Source organism: Homo sapiens, chromosome 9 (assembly GCF_000001405.40).
Source record: "Homo sapiens chromosome 9, GRCh38.p14 Primary Assembly".
Lineage (NCBI taxonomy): Eukaryota > Metazoa > Chordata > Mammalia > Primates > Hominidae > Homo > Homo sapiens.
This window is the reverse complement of record NC_000009.12, coordinates 83,427,011-83,444,043: the sequence shown is the minus strand read 5'-3', so window position 1 is coordinate 83,444,043 and position 17,033 is coordinate 83,427,011. Positions and strand designations below refer to the sequence as shown.

The window sequence follows — 17,033 nt, the reverse complement described above, 5'->3', positions numbered from 1 at the left end:
GAACATGTTAAAAAGGAAGCAAAAATAAAAGAAATATAATTGTAGTGACTGAATGACCCTTGTTTATTCTGGAAGCAATACATGCAAATATTGAAAAAAATTAAAAAGAGCACAGTGGTCTCCTTCCATGATTTTGAAAAATATCTAGTGTTTCCTGCTTGCCAAAGAAACATACTCTCACCACAATGAGATGCCATCTCACACCAGTTGGAATGGCGATCATTAAAAAGTCAGGAAACAACAGGTGCTGGAGAGGATGTGGAGAAATAGGAGCGCTTTTACACTGTTGGTGGGAGTGTAGACTGCTTCAACAATTGTGGGGGACAGTGTGGCGATTCCTCGAGGATCTGGAACTAGAAATACCATCTGACCCAGCGATCCCATTACTGGGTATATACCCAAAGGATTATAAATCATGCTACTATAAAGACACATGCACATGTATGTTTATTGCGGCACTATTCACAATAGCAAAGACTTGGAACCAACCCAAATGTCCATCAATGACAGACTGGATTAAGAAAATATGGCACATATGCACCATGGAATGCTATGCAGCCATAAAAAAGGATGAGTTCATGTCCTTTGTAGCGACATGGGTGAAGCTGGAAACCATCATTCTGAGCAAACTATCGCAAGGATGGAAAACCAAACACCGCATGTTCTCACTCATAGGTGGGAATTGAACAATGAGAACACTTCGATACAGGGCGGGGTACATCACATACTGGGGCCTGTTGTGGAGTGGGGGCGTAGGGGAGGGATAGCATTAGGAGAAATACCTAATGTAAATGACAAGTTAATGGGTGCTGCAAACCAACATGGCACATGTATGCATATGTAACAAACCTGCACATTGTGCACATGTATAGAACTTAAAGTATAATAAAAAAAGAAACATACTCTCACCAGATGCAATACAAAAAAAGTGAAAGATAATAAGAATCATTTATGATTCCCCATACAGTGATATTCATTGCTAACATTTCCTTCCACTATTTCTATATTTATATCTATACATACACATCTAAGGCCATATGTATTTTTATGTTGACATTCATATCTCCATAGATTAATGAAAAGTTTAGTATGAACATAAGACATAAGTATAGATTAGTATGAACATAAGACATGTTGCAGAAGTCTTTTTATGACTACTGAAGACTTTTGGTTTAGAAGGAATATCAAAGCATTTGGAAAAATGTGGAAATGTGAAAGGAACAGAATGAGATGGGGAGGAGAGGGGAGATGAAAGGGAGGTAACTCACACAGGATGTATGTGGACTCTGTGTGAGGGACTGTGCTGCTGTTTCACCCTGCACGCTGTGATTACTATTACCCCAAGAGGTGGTCTGGGGTTGGGGGTGGGGTGGTCGTGGAGGGGGAATGTACCCCCCCTCCACTGAGGATTCAGTGCTCAGGCTCAGGAGTCAGACAGATCCAATTTTATACGTTGGCTTTCCTCCCTATTAGTTTAGAACCTTATTTTTCTCCTGTGTAAGTTCCATGTGTAATCCCAGCACTTTGGGAGGCCGAGGTGGGTGGATCACTTGAGGTCAGGAGTTGGAGACCAGCCTGGCCAACATGGTGAAACCCCGTCTCTACTAAAAATACAAAAATTAGCCAGGTGTGCTGGTGTACACCTGTAGTCCCAGTTACTTGGGAGGCTGAGGCAGGAGAATTGCTTGAACCCAGGAGGTGGAGGCTGCAGTGAGCTGAGATCGCACCACTGCACTCCAGCCTGGGCAACAGAACAAGACTCTGTCTCAAAAAAAAAAAAAAAAAAAAAGATCTGTATAAACCACCCTTTATGTGGTTTTTGTAAGGACTTAAAGATTGAATGTACACAAAGCTCTTACATCTGGCACTAGTAGACTCTCACCAGTGGTAGCTGTTATTGTCAGTGTTATTCCAAATCTGAGCAAACTGAGTCTCAGAGAGGGTGACGCATCTAAGATCACTCGGCTGATAAGTGGTAAAGACAGGATTTGAATTCTATCAATTTGAAAGATGTGTCGGGCTTTAGTGCGCACGTTCTTTATGCTGTACTAGGTCAATGCCAAAGGAAACAGATTATATTTATTCAGTAGTCCGACATATTTCATTTTCTGCCTAAAATGTCTGTAAAGAAATGGATGCTGGTGCTTTGGAGTTCATACTGGCCTTTTTTTGGCAGTTTCAAGGAAAGCAAAGGATTCTGTTCTCTGTTTGTATGTAAAGGCAGGAAGAAAACATACCTCCCTTTCTGTCATGGCATCTAAAGCTGGTGGCGTCCGCAGATAACAACCGAGGGAGGGTTAATGTGTGTGTTTGTTTTTGCCCAGGAAAATGGCAATGAATTTCATGCTTGGGGGTGCTGCCTACTATTTAGCAATGAGGCTTTTTTCCACTAGATTAGGAAACAGATGTTTTCTAGTCCATTGAGGAGTTTTAAATGCTGGAAATACTTAAGAGTAATTTTCCAGGACTGTTGACCTGGATTCTTGGATTATGATCATTCTGGCTGGGGTCCAGTGCCCTTGAGCTTTTAATCTGTAGAGACTCTTTTGTGTATTTATCTACTTGGCTCAATGTGACTTTTTAAATCCTTAATTCATGGAGGCATCATTTAGATCCAGGAGCTGAGATTATTTATTTTTTCTCCTTTTAAGTCTAAATAACTAATGTGTCAGGATCCTCGACTGGTGAATTGCCTTGGGATCAACCTTGGGATCCGTTCAGTCGGAATCTGACTTCTCAGGCATTCCCACGTTCTTTTCAAAGGTGATATTTTGAAATAACAAAAACAAAATTCACATTATCTAGACTTCACTGGGTACTTAGTCTCTCGGTCAGCAGGGGATAGGTGATGCTGCAGTGACCAGAACCCCTCACAGCTCAGTAGCCGCATAGAACATTGATTTTCTTGTTCGGGCTGTAATGTTCCATGAGGGTCTGTTGGGGCATTCTTCTGATCGTGGTCACACAGTGACCCTGAATGATGGAGGCTTTATCTTGCATGCTACCATGACCACCACAGTAGAGGGAAGGGTGTGTGGTGAGTCTCTCACTGGCTCTTTAAGCTTCATTGGCCGAAACAAGTCTCATGGCCAAGACCTACTGCAAATGGAGCTGGAAAGCACAATTCCGTCCTGTGCCTGAAGGAGAGGAGAACCAGAATGCAGCCCTAATGGCCCCCACACCTCCTGGCGTCAGACTCTGCGTTACATGCCTCACATATACCATCTGTAATCTTTACCTCAATTATGCAAGGCACAGGCCCCTATTCCTATCTGATAGATAAGAAAACGGATTCAGAGAGGTCAGGCAAATTGCCCATGGAAACACAAGGCTCAGATTGGAATCCAGTCTGTCTGCTAACTAAATGAGTGTGCTTCCCTCTCTGTTACACTGCCTTTGATAGCGTAGGTGTTCCCTTTCTTCCCCAACTGAACAAATGAAGAATTGGATAGTAATGTTGCCCCTCGTCCTGTGATCATTTTTTATGCAGTGTTGTATATTGCCCTGGAGGCTGGGGGTGACAATTGCTGATGGCCCTGTGGGAGTGGTCCAGCTGGGAGCTGATCTATTGAGTCATGTCTTTAGGGATATGATATGGACAGTCCAGAGCCCAGAAGTGACAGAAGAAGAATTAGGGATCCACTGGACCAGTCAGAAACTGGACCATTACTCTCTTTGGACATTGGATTATAGGGACTACCACATGACTATTACACTGATCACTGATGTATTGATTACATTTGTATTTACAAGGGGAGCTTTGTGTTCTATTAATCTAAATGACAGTTTGGTCCAATAAGTGCCTTGAACATGACTTGGATTTCAGAATTAGAGTATAGGTGAAGTGCTCTTCTGACCTTAGAAATGACCCAGGCATAGGACCACTGGCTACAAAGAAATTGGGTCTGGTTTCCTCTGCTGGTAGAAACCAGAGAATCCTCTTGGGCAGCAGTCTGCACCAACAAACTTACTGATGCCCAAGACTTCTTCTGGTTTTTGTAATGGCTATTGTCAGGGAGGTAGTGCCACCAAGCTGGAAGTGTGTGTTTTGAGACCTTGAGATGGATCTTGGAAAGCAGTTCCCTGCTTGAAAAATTCCTGAATATAATGAAATATATTTAATATAGATTAGTATTATATCTAGTCTTTCTACCAGTTTCTCCTTATTTTATTTTATAACTGCTAGCATTATCTTTGTTTACTTACTGCTTACTGCTAACTTACTGTCACTCACTGGCTAAATATCTTCTGATGGCTTGTCATTGCCCACAGGGAAAGTTTAAACACTTTGGGCAAGGCACATAGCTCTTTGTGATCTTGTCTGTATCTACTAATAAAATAATCATAATATGTATCTAATGATGTGTTCAGGATGTTTCTGCAAACAGAGAACCCATTTTCAACTGCCTGCCAAATAGAAAGTGAGAATTTCTGCTAAAATGGGGTTTCGTCTTTCCTCTCCACTCAGCAATGTGCTGCTGCTGCATAAAGAAGCCAACTACAAGAAAGATGGCGGACATAGAAGGGTCACATTAGGAGGATAGGTGCTTTGGAGTTCTGTAACCATCCAGTTGGCTGTAACCAGTGAAGACTGAATGCTTTCCCTGGCCCATTGCAAGCCATCAGTAGGCTCCTCAGAGCAAACCAGTTGTGAAGAAGAAATGTTCCATGTGGTAACTGAGAGAAAAGGCTCCAGACTCAGTCATTATAGGGAGCTTCCCTTGGCCATTGGTCATGGGTTGTTACCATGTCCTCAAGGATGAAGAATTAGAAACCAATGTCCTAACTCTCTCTGGAGCCTGTATGGACCCTATCCATTTATGGACATTAAATGTTTTATGGCTTTCATGGCCCAAACAATATTTAACCATGTTCATCAAGTGTTAAGCGAAAGATAAATTATTATATGTAGTTTCCTGGGCTGGGTGTGGCCCCCATTTGGTGATGAGTGTCAAGACTCTGGGACTCAGAATAGGCATGTCCAGGTGAGCAGTGTCCCCTCACAGATGCCTTTTTAAAGGAACTTCACATGGGTATGGAGGTGCAGCTCCTGCAAAAGAGGTGAGGGTTTTCAGGCCTCTCCTTCCTTCCTCCAGAAGGGTTTTCTTTCTCTGGAGAGAGACCTACGGCAGCCATTTGTTTTGTGGGAGGAAGGCTATGCTGAGGTGCAGCACAGAGGTGGGAACAACTTCTCATGGCCCTCTCAGCTGTAGGACGCACAGAACACACACAGCAGGGAAGACTATTTCTACCTATTGCACCCAGCGAGGTTGTTTGGCCTAATTTAGGGGCTCTGCCCTGGGTCAGATCTGATCGTACATCTGTGTGGAGAAAATATTCTCTTTGCTGGATGCGGTGGCTCACGCCTGTAATCTCAGCACTTTGGGAGGCAGAGGCGGGTGGATCACCTGAGGTTAGGAGTTCGAGAACAGCCTGGCCAATATGGTGAAACCCTGTCTCTACTAAAAATACAAAAATTAGCTGGGCATGGTGACAGGCACCTGTAATCCCAGCTACTCGGGAGGCTGAGGCAAGAAAATGGCTTGTGGTGAGCCAAGATTGTGCCATTGCACTCCAGCCTGGGCGAGAGAGTAAGACTCCATCTCAAAACAAAACAAAACAAAACAAAAAAAAAACTCTCTTCTGAGACAGGTAGAGTGGGTAGAAAGAAAGAGTTTGTGACTCTCCCTAAATACCGTGTCGAGACCTATTTAGGACATCATCCGTAAGTCACAAGTATGATTTTCTCCAAATAGTTAGTGTTTATTTCAGCAATTTAAAAGCTGGAATTTCTGGGTTCTGTTTCTTTGGAGTAATGTTATATTCACTTCACTACCCCATATTTTTGTGGCTTGCTTCAGAAAATACATTTTCTTTTCTTTTTTTGGGGAAAATCCAATAAGGTATTTCCTTGAGTTAGATCCTTTCTTGGTATGCTTAATAGTAATTTAGCAGAAATTTTTAGCCTTTTACTGGCACTTCCAGCCTCCCTGGGAGTCTGCTTATAGCACCAAAACAGCCGGTGTGTGGGAGGGGAGGCTGATTCTGCAAAACTGAGTGTGTTTCCCGCACGTGCCCTCACATGCCCCCTTCTCTCTTTTTATCCTGCACTCTCTTTTGTGCTCTTGAGGATCCCCCTGCTTCGCTCACTTAGCTTTGCACTGTCACTGCCAGTGACGCGCATGTTCTTCTAATATGACAAGTCTCATACAAACTTTATGTCCTGGAGCAAAAGAGAAATCAAGTACTAGGATCAGGAAGGTGCACATGTGTCCCGTCTCTCTTTTCTTTGTATTTTGTTCTACTTCCATGGAAGACCCACGTCTGTGTGCCTGGTTTATAGGCTCAATCTCAGCTGGGTCAGAATGGTGGAATCTGCTTGGTATTGGTTGGAGGAAGAAGCACTGTGATTGTGGTCAGTAATGATGGATTAATGACAACTATATGAGCCAAATGGAACCTTCCTAGGCTTCGTGATATTTTGGAACTAATTTTAAAGCTCAGACTTCAGAGCAAGACAGGGAGATAGGTGGACTAAACGATAAAGAAAATCTCAAGGTGTAATTTTCAATAAATTAAAAGTATGACTCTCATACAAATATAGAATGAGCACGAGTCAAAAATTTATTTAACTCATCAATGAGGGAACTAGCAGGATGGCAAAGCTGGTTTATGGTAAGTCTATATAGTCAAAGAAACTAAACAATGCTGAGATAAAATTTGCTGAGACACAGCTGAGGTATATAATGGACATAAGGTGATAAAACCATAAATGTTGAGTTGCCTCCTCTATAGGACAGAAATTATTTGCAACTTACCAATCTTTTACAAGTTAGCATCTAATTTTACAGTCTAGACCTTTAAGATTAGCAAATATTAAGTCAAGCCGAGTTTGCCTCCCTAAAGCATCAGGTGACCCTTATGTGACTTTGATAGACAAGACTCCGTGTCACCTTGGAAGAGCACCTCATCGTCTTTTTGCCTTATTTCCAAATTTTGGATTTTACATGGTGGAACCATTGCAGATGAGGTTGCTGTGGTCAACATCTGAACAGTTTTCTGTTGTCTTGGCTGATGTTTACTCTGAAGGGTTATATATTTCAGGGGCATCTGTAGCTTGGGCACTGCCTCCATTTTGCTCTCACCTCTTTCTTTCCAGGGGGTATGCTGTGACTGTTTTCAGGGATATGGCTCCTAGGTAAATCATCTGGATTGGTATTCTTTTCCTGTCTAGCTGTCTTGTTTTTTTTTTTTTTTTTTTTCCCCTTGGTCCAGGTTGGAAAACTTCAGCCACAGAGTAAAAATGTATATCTTTAAATGGAATGGTTATTTTTGGGATGGCATAATTTAAAAGCAAAATTGTATTTTTGTCTAGGTCCAGGACAGAGTGTTAAATGAATCCAGTGAAGTAACTGGTTTCAATATAAGAAATGACTCTTTTATGTTTAAGTTTATAAGCAACATTTTTTTTTGAATTGCAATATTTCAAATGATCTCTTTATTGCTTCCTGAAGCAAGATTTTCTTTGCTAGTTGATCTCTTGTGCATGCAGACACACACACACACACACACACACACACACACATCTTATTAATTAAAATTTGGCAAAGGAAAAATGTGTGATTAATTTGGACACACTAGATTCTTATTTAGTAAAAAGCTAAAAATAGCAAAGCCCTTTGAGCCCTTTGTAAAGCCTGTCGTGCAGACAGTTTTATGTGTCAATGACTTTATTTAATTATGTTTCAGGAGCTATGATTTGACCCTTAGTGTGAGAGAACAACAAGTGGTTTTAATGGATTTCCACGGACATTTCTTTCTTTTGGAGCTGCTTTATCTCAAGGTGGATGCTGCAAAGTCAGAGTCCAAGATCAGAATCTCAGGAGAGGGATTGCCGGGATGAGGACAGGGTGAGCTGGAGTTAAGAGTGAAGGTAGGACTGTGGGTAGAGAGAATCAGTGTTGTGTGGGGCTGCTAGGGAGGCTTTGATGCACCATGATTTTCCTGCCTCTGATTCCTGAACATGTGCATATTCTGGGTTCTCTTTTTTAAATAATTAGTTTGTGGGGATTTAACTTTTGTCTCAAGCCAAATTAAGGTTCTGGGGATTTTTGGGTGGCATATCCTGATCCAATTTCTCTCTATTGTGGTCTTAGGACCATGTTAAAGTCACTAGGGCAGAGGGTTGATAGAAAAAGGTATATTCTTGGTTTCCACCTCATATTTACTGAATCAGAATCTGGGGATGGGTTAGGGAATCTCCATTTGAAACAAGCCCCTAAAAACATCTCAATTTTAAACAAAGTCATTCTCAAATCACCAAAATGGATTTGTCTTAATTCTAACGCCCCTTGCCCCTCAAACCCAAATAAAACTGGAACAAAACAAAAGGTTCTTTCATTACAATCAACATGGCTTCTTGTTAAGCTATCCAGGTTAAAATAATTCATGCCAAGAAGTAACTGGCTAAAAGACAGCCTTCTCGGTGGTGGCTGTGGTTTAGGGAAGGACTCTGTGCCTTCTCAACGACGGCTGTGGTTTAGGGTAGGACTCTGCCACTCCAGATGATGCCCTAGTGAGGCCAGTGGTCAGGGAGCTCTTGATCTGGAACCTTGAGCACTCCTTGCTGGCTTTCTGGTTTGTGGTGGCTTTAGAGCTCACTTTTGAAAGGCACAAACTTTCTCTTAAGCAGGATACCTGATTTCATGAGATCCTCCCTTTTCCAAACTAGGAGGGACCAAAGGATCTGCCAGGTGGGCCTGGATATTTGAATTCAGAAGCACACTGCACACTGTGTGTTGACTAAGAGGAAATCAAATGGAAGTCCATGTGTGTAGCAGAGTGGTTCCAGTTTCCATAAGGGTGGCTGCAGAGCTGGAGAAACACTGAGCAAGGAACACTAAATAAGGGGTTCCGGCCTGGTACGGTGGCTCACGCCTGTAATCCCAGCACTTTGGGAGGCTGAGGCAGGTGGATTGCTTGAGCTCAGGAGTTCGAGACCAGCCTGACCAACATGGTGAAACCCCATCTCTACAGAAAAAACCCGCAAAAATTAGCCTGCCGTGGTGGTGTGTGCTTGTGGTCAGCTACTCAGGAGGCTGAGGCAGGAGAATCACTTGAACCCAGGAGGCAGAGGCTGCAGTGAGCCGAGATCGTGCCACTGCACTCCAGCCTGGGTGACAGAGCCAGACCCTGTCTCAAAAAAAAAAAAAAAAAAAAAAAAAGCAGAGGGGTGGGGGAGGGGAGAGATTCAGATGTTGGCATCTTCTGTTAATTATAGTTTCCTCTTTAAAGGGGAGGCCATACATTTCTGATCATGTTACAACACTTCTTTTCTCCTTGACCTCCACTGGAAACCATGAGAATCCCAAGGCTTTAAGACATTGGGAGAGGACTGTTGATAAGCATGGGCTGTGTCTCCTTTGGTTTGAGCTAGTTTGCTTTTAAAAGCTTGTTAAAATGACTTAATGATTCAGAAAACCCATTGTTCTACTGCTGGGTAAGCAGGAAGGGATGGGTGAGTTTAGGTTTATTGGGCTTGTGAGTGCCATGGGCCAGGTAGGCTGCTGGGAGCTTTGTGTGCATCCTCTTGTTTAGTGTTGGACATTTGTCCCCATTCACAGTCAAGGAAACCAAGGTTCAGAGAGCCAAGTGGCCTTTCCCAGGTGACACAACCAGGAAGGGCCAGGGCCAGGATGTGAACTGAAGTCCCCCTGTGTCTAACTCCACTGCCTTGCAGAACAGGCCACATTCTTTTTCTTCTGCCTGTGGAGACCACGGCACAGTCTCCTAAAAGTGACCTCAAACTCCATCAGAGGCTCAGAGGACTGAGAGTCCAGTGGTCAAGGTACACCTAGCCAGGAGCAATCTTTATTTTTTAGTTTGGGGAGAATTTGATATTTACTAAGCAAACTGCCAAGCCTGTGAGCTTGAGGAAGGAAGTTTATGAAGAAACACTGTGCCTCCCTGCAGATGTCTTTCAGGCTTGGAGCTCCAGACAGGAAGCCCTCTGCTGCCCTAAAGAGGAGGTGGTCAAGAGGGAATTTGCAGAATAGAGCAAGATGGTGACTTTTGACACAAGTCCTTTAAGGCAGGGGTCCCCAGCCCCTGGGCCACAGACCAGTAGGAACCGGGCTGCACAGCAGGAGGTGAGTGGTGGGTGATCAAGTGAAGCTTCATCTGTATTTACAGCCACTCCCCATAGCTGGCATTACCACCTGAGCTCTGCCACCTGTCAGATCAGTGGTGACATTAGATTCTCATAGGGGTGCAGACCCTATTGTGGACTGTGCATACAAGGGATCTAGGTTGCACATTCCCTATGAGAATCTAATGCCTGATGATCTGTCACTGTCTCCCATCACCCTCAGATTGGACTGTCTAGTTGCAGGAAAACAAGCTCAGGGCTCCCACTGATTCTACATTGTGGTAAGTTGTATAATTATTTCATTATGTATTACAATGTAATAATAATAGAAATAAAGTGCACAATAAATGTGATGTGCTTGAGTCATCCTGAAACCACCCCACTTCCACCTTGATCCGTGGAAAAATTGTCTTCCATTAAACTGGTCCCTGGTGCCAAAAAGGTTGGGGACTGCTGCTTTGAAGAGTTTGCCTGTGAGGAAAACATGAGAGGGACAAGGCATAGTTCTGTGGGAAGGCCTAATCCCCCTTCTCTTTTTCTTATGGTGTCCTAACCTCCTGCTTCCGTTATGATCCCTGAGCATGCAGAATTTTATGATGTGGTGAAGTTTCACTTCCACCAATGTTCTTTATTAATATCATGAACTAAGCATGCATTAATTGCCTTCCTAGCCTCTTGAGATTTTTTTATAATAAGGAAACATTTTAAGAATGAAAAGCAATTGCAAAGATATGGAATCAACCTAATGCCCATCAACTGATGAATGCATTGATAAAGAAAATGTGGTATATATACACCAAGGAATACTACTCAGCCACTAAAAAGAAAAAAATGATGTCTTTTTTGGCAACTTGGATGGAACTAGAAGCCATAATTCTAAGTGAAGTAACTCAGGAATGGAAAACCAAAAACCTAGTTCTCACTTATAAGTGGAAGCTAAGCTATAGGTATGCAAAGGCATGCAGAGTTGTATAATGGACATTGGAGACTCAGAAGGAGGGTAAAGGATGAAAAACTACTTACTGGGTACAATGTACACTACTTGGGTGACAGGTGCAGTAAAATCCTACTTCAGCACTATATAATTTGTCCACATAACCAAAAATGCTTGTACCTCTAAAGCTATTGAAATTAAAATTTTTTTAAATCTGTTAAATCTATTTAAGAAAAAAAGGATAATGGAAGAATTCCTTTCATATTAAACTTATATTCCTTTTATATTGAACTTACAAACAGATATTTATTCAGGCATTGGATGAGTGATCTATGACCTTTGTTTTATAAGTTTAACCTGCTGGGCTCAAAGCTTTAAAAGTCCCGGAGGGCCTGAGGCAGTGGTGACATTTTCTGTGGTGGGGTGCTGGGCTTCATTGAAATGCACACATAAAACCTTGGAATGTGCGTGGACTGCTGGGGAGCAGAGGCTGGCCAGGCTGAGGGAGGGGGCCACACCACACAAAGGACACACAGTCACATTCCTCCCGGGCCACCCAGCAGCCTTGGTGGCTGCTTGCCATCTGGCAGTGCTCTCGGTATTTTCCTGGATTCCTTGGGGCAAAGGAAACATAGTGACCTGGCAGACTTGGCTCCTGGCTCAGTGGCAAGGCCAGAGCTGTAGAAGTGGTTTATGGAGGAGATTGCACTTAAAATATCACTCTAGCCCATCCTTCCCTGTCATCATACAAGTTAACCAGCATCCTGGGACAAGGCTAGGCATCCAGAGGGCCGGATGTGGGGAAGACTCTTGCAATGCCGTGTTTTAAGTCCATTGCTTCCAGGTGTGTGGCAGTGTCCTTTCCAGCCACTAGATTGGGAATGCAATGAGGGAAGGGAGTTGGGTGAAGAGTTTAGTTAATAAATATTGGGTACCTAATGAGGATTGTCTATGCCTCGAGCTGCCACGGGTTCCTTCTGAAGAGTGCTAGGGTTTCTCTGAAGAAGCCCAAGTCCCACATTGAACTAAGTGTCCTCTCTCTGCAGAGTGCTGTGCCAGCAGCTGGCAAGCAAGCATGTTTATGAGTTAGTGATCTTTTGATAAGAGCTCATTCCTGAAAGGCAAATGGAAACTTCCACCTAGAACTCAGGCCAGGTCAGGAGGTGAGAGTATGGAAAAATAACACCAAGTGCAGGCACAAAACTGGAGAAGACAAAATAGTAAGGGAGCTGCAATTGGGGAAGTTAAAAAGGGCCTCATGGTCAACAAATCAGAGACAAGAGAAGGACAAGTGACACTTTTGACACCTTTATACCTTCAGCAAAAGCTGATACTCTCAGAACCTAAAATAGCAGAGAAGTCAAATGTTTCATCTCATAAAAAAAAACGCTAAACTTAACCACAAAACTGTTTAAGATTATACCTTGTGAAATACAAAGTAAAAAGTTAGAATAGGGAAAAAAATCAGAATAGAATAAGGAAGGAAAGGCTAGAGTATTAATTAAGATAAATTAAAAATTTTAGATTTTAATTCAGTTTGTCCTAGCATTTTTAAGAAAACAAAGATGATTTTGGAGGGCATAACAAGTCATTCTAACTCATATCCCTGAAAATGTAGGAGAATAAATTATCCACATGGGAATAATGAGCATTTGGAAGCACATGTGGTGCTAGTTTCATTGTGCAAAACACGAAATACATTATACCAATGTCATATTCATTTATGGCAGGGAGACTAGTTAGATGAGGGAAGGCGTACATCTGAACTGGCTGATGTTCTCAAACATCCACGCTATTGGACATTCCCAAGAAGCTGGAAATGTACAATCTGAAATGAACGTGCTCCTTCCATGAGTTCAATAAAGGGCCAATGGATCTCACCTAAAAGGATGTTTTGCTCAGAATGAACTTGCTGGACATGCTTTGCCTATCACAGGGCTCTAATACCACGGAATTACAATAAGACCTCATTGTTTATATGAGGGGCCAAAGCATCAAATTCCTACAGGGGTCAGATAGGTGATCTAAAGGAACTAAGTGGTGCAGGCATGAATGTGGCCAGAGAGCAGGGTGGGTGGCCTGGCCACAGGGACAGCTGTTTGTTACTCCTCTCCAGCCAGCTCCCTGCACAGGGGTGATGCCATGCTGAGCCAGTGCCAAGTGGTCAGCTGAGTTTTCAAGAGGCCAGCTTTTCAGATTTTAGGGAAATCTGTAATTTTTAAACATCTGTTTTTAAACATCGAAGATATGGACGTGGGGCTACCAACGGCTTTAAACTTTAGAGTGAAAAAGATAGGTGAATGTTTGCTGGCTCGTTGGTGTGAAATGAAAGACATTTCTTAAAAAAAAGCAAGCCATTTTATGAAAAAAAAGTTTTTCTTTTATCATGGTCATTGTTTTATAATTTTAACAAGTTAAGGAACAAATATGTGGAGAGACTTATGATCTGCCAGCTTACTAATTACTCTTTTCTACTCTGAGCATTAGTCTGCCTTAGGTCTTTGTCATCTGCACGTGTCTAAACCCACATGATATACATTTACATGTACTTATACACATGTACAGGGATAAAAATTTCTCAATATGGTGGCTGGTACAGATCACTCAGCTTCCACCAAATGGAGCTTCTACCAAATGGAGCCAATCTTGGGGTTTTATTTGGAGGTTACAGGGGGCTGCAGAAGGAGGGGCCAGCGTGGGACAAGGGTTGTGTTTTAGGAAGGTCTCTCTGCATTGGCTTGTAGGACAAAGAGGAGGGAAGAGATACAGGAGCAGGGAAGGAGTTAGGCAGGTGTCTCTTGAAGTTGTTTCAACTAGAGGTGTTGAGACCAAGGCTAGGGATAAGGTATGATCAGAAAGGCCTTGATTCAAGCATTATGTATAATATAGAATAAGACAGCCTTTAGTAAGTGATTAGTGATGGGGGAACAAAGGAGTTCATGATGATTACGATATCCGAATTCTAAGAAACTGGCAATGGTGGTGGTGAGGAGAAGCAGTTGGTGAATAGTGGGTTCTCTGTGATCTGGGGTTGGCTTGGGACCTGCTGACTTATGCGTGAAGGGTTAAGTCTGGATATTGAGTTTGAGAATCATTCGCATCTCTGCATAGAGGTCAGAGTTGGAGCCAGGGGGCTGAATGAGATCCCTGAACAAATGGCAGAGACAAGAGACGAAGACCCAGGACCAGGATAAAGAATAAGGGGCAAAATGGAATCCAAGAGAGAGAGAAAAATTGTTAAGAAGGAGAAGACTAATAATCTCCCACTCAGCACCTGGCATCATGCACACATTCTCACAGAAGCCTCACGAAGGCCCAGGAAGAAGCATGATTATCTCAGTTTTGTAGATGAGGAAACAGGATTAAATGATGAGAAGGTGGCAAGGACGTGGGACCTTGGGACAGGCTGGGCTCCTTCTACAAGGTGGGCAGAGAAGGGAGTGGGAGAGAGAGCTTAGTGCATAAGAGCATATCAGAGTGAAAGCAAAGGGCATTTTTAAGGATGTCCTGGGGAGAATGTTTGTAAGCTGAGGAAAAAGATCAAAGGGAGAGGGAGAAACGGGCGATGAAAGCTGGAGATGGATTAATAATTGATAGGGCTGAGTTGCCAAGCAGGGGGCTGGAGCCAGGATCAAGATGGATCTTCCAAGTGACAGGAACCTGAAAGGAAGCTCTCATTGTACAGAGTACCTGAGCCCCAAGCAGTGGTGAGACATCACAGTAGGAGAGCTTCAGATGTGACGGGAGGCATCAGCTCTGGAAGCTGATGGCCACTTGCTATGGCATGACTACGAAGAGAAGTATTAACTGCTTATTTCCTCTTTATGTGAATATCTTCTATGGATCAGTCACGTTAATTCTCATGAATTATAGAACCTCAGCACAAATAAATTTAGCCTACATTCAATAGAGATTATTTTAATTAGCTTTCATTTTTTCCTAAGGAGGCCATGCCGTCCATTATTTGTTGCTATTACATATGAGTTGTGTGTGTGTGTGCGTGTGTGTTTTAGCTTCAATGAAGAGTAGATCTACATATCAAGGGCAAGGTTAGGAGGAATTAACTTGCTTTCATGCTTACATCATTATCAAGATAATGAGTAAAACATACATTATTGGGTTAAAGATCTTTCTGGAAAGAACTTGATATGGTAGGAAGAACTTGGGCTTTGGAGTTAATGGGTGCAAATCTGAGCTTCAGTATTTCCAAGTGGTGTGATTTTAGGCTAAAGGCATCACCCAACTTCATCTTCTCCAACTGCAGCGGAATGATTATACCTTACAAGGTTTTAATGATGATTAGAGATATGTAAAGAACACCCAGCACATGCCTTAATACATGGTATAAATAATGAAAATTATTATAATTACTAAATGAACTGAGGACTAAATATTTATAAAATACATCAGACCAACATGAGCACACATGTATATATATGTGTGTGTGTGTGTGGTTTATATGTGTGGATATGTATATATGTATATATGGAAGTATCCTTCCATTCTTTTGTCAATGGATGTGTGAATTGTTTCCAGTTTTATTCAATTACAAAGTATGCTACTATAAACATACTTTTTTTTTTTTGAGGCCGAGTCTCGCTCTGTTGTCCAGGCTGGAATACAATGGTGTGATCTCGGCTCACTGCAACTTCTGCCTCCCGGGTTCAAGCAATTCTTCTGCCTCAGCCTCCCAAGTAGCTGGGATTACAGGTGTGTACCACCATGCCCAGCTAATTTTTTGTATTTTTAGTACAGATGGGGTTTCACTATGTTGACCAGGCTAGTCTTGAACTCCTGACCTCAGGTGATCCACCTGCCTTGGCCTCCCAAAGTGCTGGGATTACAGGTGTGAGCCACCTCACCCGGCCTATAAACATTCTTATACATATTTTATAGTCATGTTTGCTACTCCTCTGGGGTTTCCATCTAGAAGCAGAAGTACTTACTATGTACATCATCACCTCTGCTAGGTAATGACAAGTTGTTTTCTAAACTGGTCGCGCTTACTTATGCTCCTGTTAGCAGTGTAGGACGCTGTCCAGTTTCTCTGCATCCCACCAAACCTTGGAAATGTCAGACTTTAAAAAGTTGGCCAAGCTCATGAATAGGAAATGTTTTTTAATTATTGTTTTCCCAATTACTGATCAGTTGAACATCTTTTCATATGCTTGCTGGCCTTTTAAGTTTTATCTTCTGTGAAATGCTTATTCATGCTTTTTGCTCATTTTTTTTTCTAGATTCATCTTTTTAAAAGGTATAAAGACACTGAGTTAGATATATACATATATTCATATATATATAAATACTTATATTTGTCAAAGTTCAAGAGTCAGTTCATACTAACATTAACTAATACTTTCATCTGTCAGAGAACTCAAGTTTTCTTGCTTGTACCTATTAGGTGCCTGTACCTAACAGGTACTGAATGATGAGTATTGAATGAATCAAATATGGAGAGAGGAACAAGTCTACCATTAAATATGTAAGACTAGCACATCAAGAATGACACCTTTCTAGGTCAGGTACCGAGCAAGACTGTTTTTCATGTTCTGTCCCCTAAGGGATGTGTGACCTGAACAACCTCTATAAAGAGCACATGGAGTGGAGTCAGCACCTTCCAACCTCTTGGGTTATTGTGACAGGGCCAGAGGGGAACCTATGACTTGCTGACCACCTACAGTGTTAGGAATCAGGTGCTCTCCATCCCTCACCCACAGACCCCAGGTTTCCTGATGTGTGGAATCACCCTGGCTGCTTCCCAAGCCTATACTCCTCAGGCCATTCTCATGGGTTTCTGATTCCACAGATTACACTTTGGTCTGGGAACCTGAATTTTGAACAAATGCTCCAGGTAATTCCTATACTTAGGTGCCTTTAAGAAACCCTGCCCAAGCCCTGTGCCTGGACTGAGATCGAGTAGTGAAGGTTCTTTGAGTGCTTTTCTTTTTACTC

General features: G+C 42.5%; 1 protein-coding gene across 8 annotated transcripts in view, besides 1 other annotated feature; it reads left to right on the top strand.

Moving 5' to 3' along the window:
• FRMD3 (FERM domain containing 3) overlaps window positions 1-17,033 on the top strand; it is a 342,803-nt gene that overhangs the window by 141,751 nt on the left and 184,019 nt on the right. The window contains exon 1 of one of the 8 annotated variants that reach the window (XM_047423154.1): window positions 7,633-7,933. The exons of the other annotated variants lie outside the window; for them this stretch is intronic. The gene's annotated coding sequence lies outside the window, so the exon portion shown is untranslated. Of the gene's footprint in view, window positions 1-7,632; window positions 7,934-17,033 lie in introns of those variants that run through there. 8 annotated transcript variants of the gene reach the window in all.
• Window positions 11,476-11,770: a silencer, noted in NCBI's record as "tiled region #10133; K562 Repressive non-DNase unmatched - State 24:Quies". NCBI's record gives its function as "represses a minimal TATA promoter and a strong SV40 promoter by Sharpr-MPRA in K562 cells {active_cell/tissue: K562}" and the evidence as "EXISTENCE:reporter gene assay evidence [ECO:0000049][PMID:27701403]".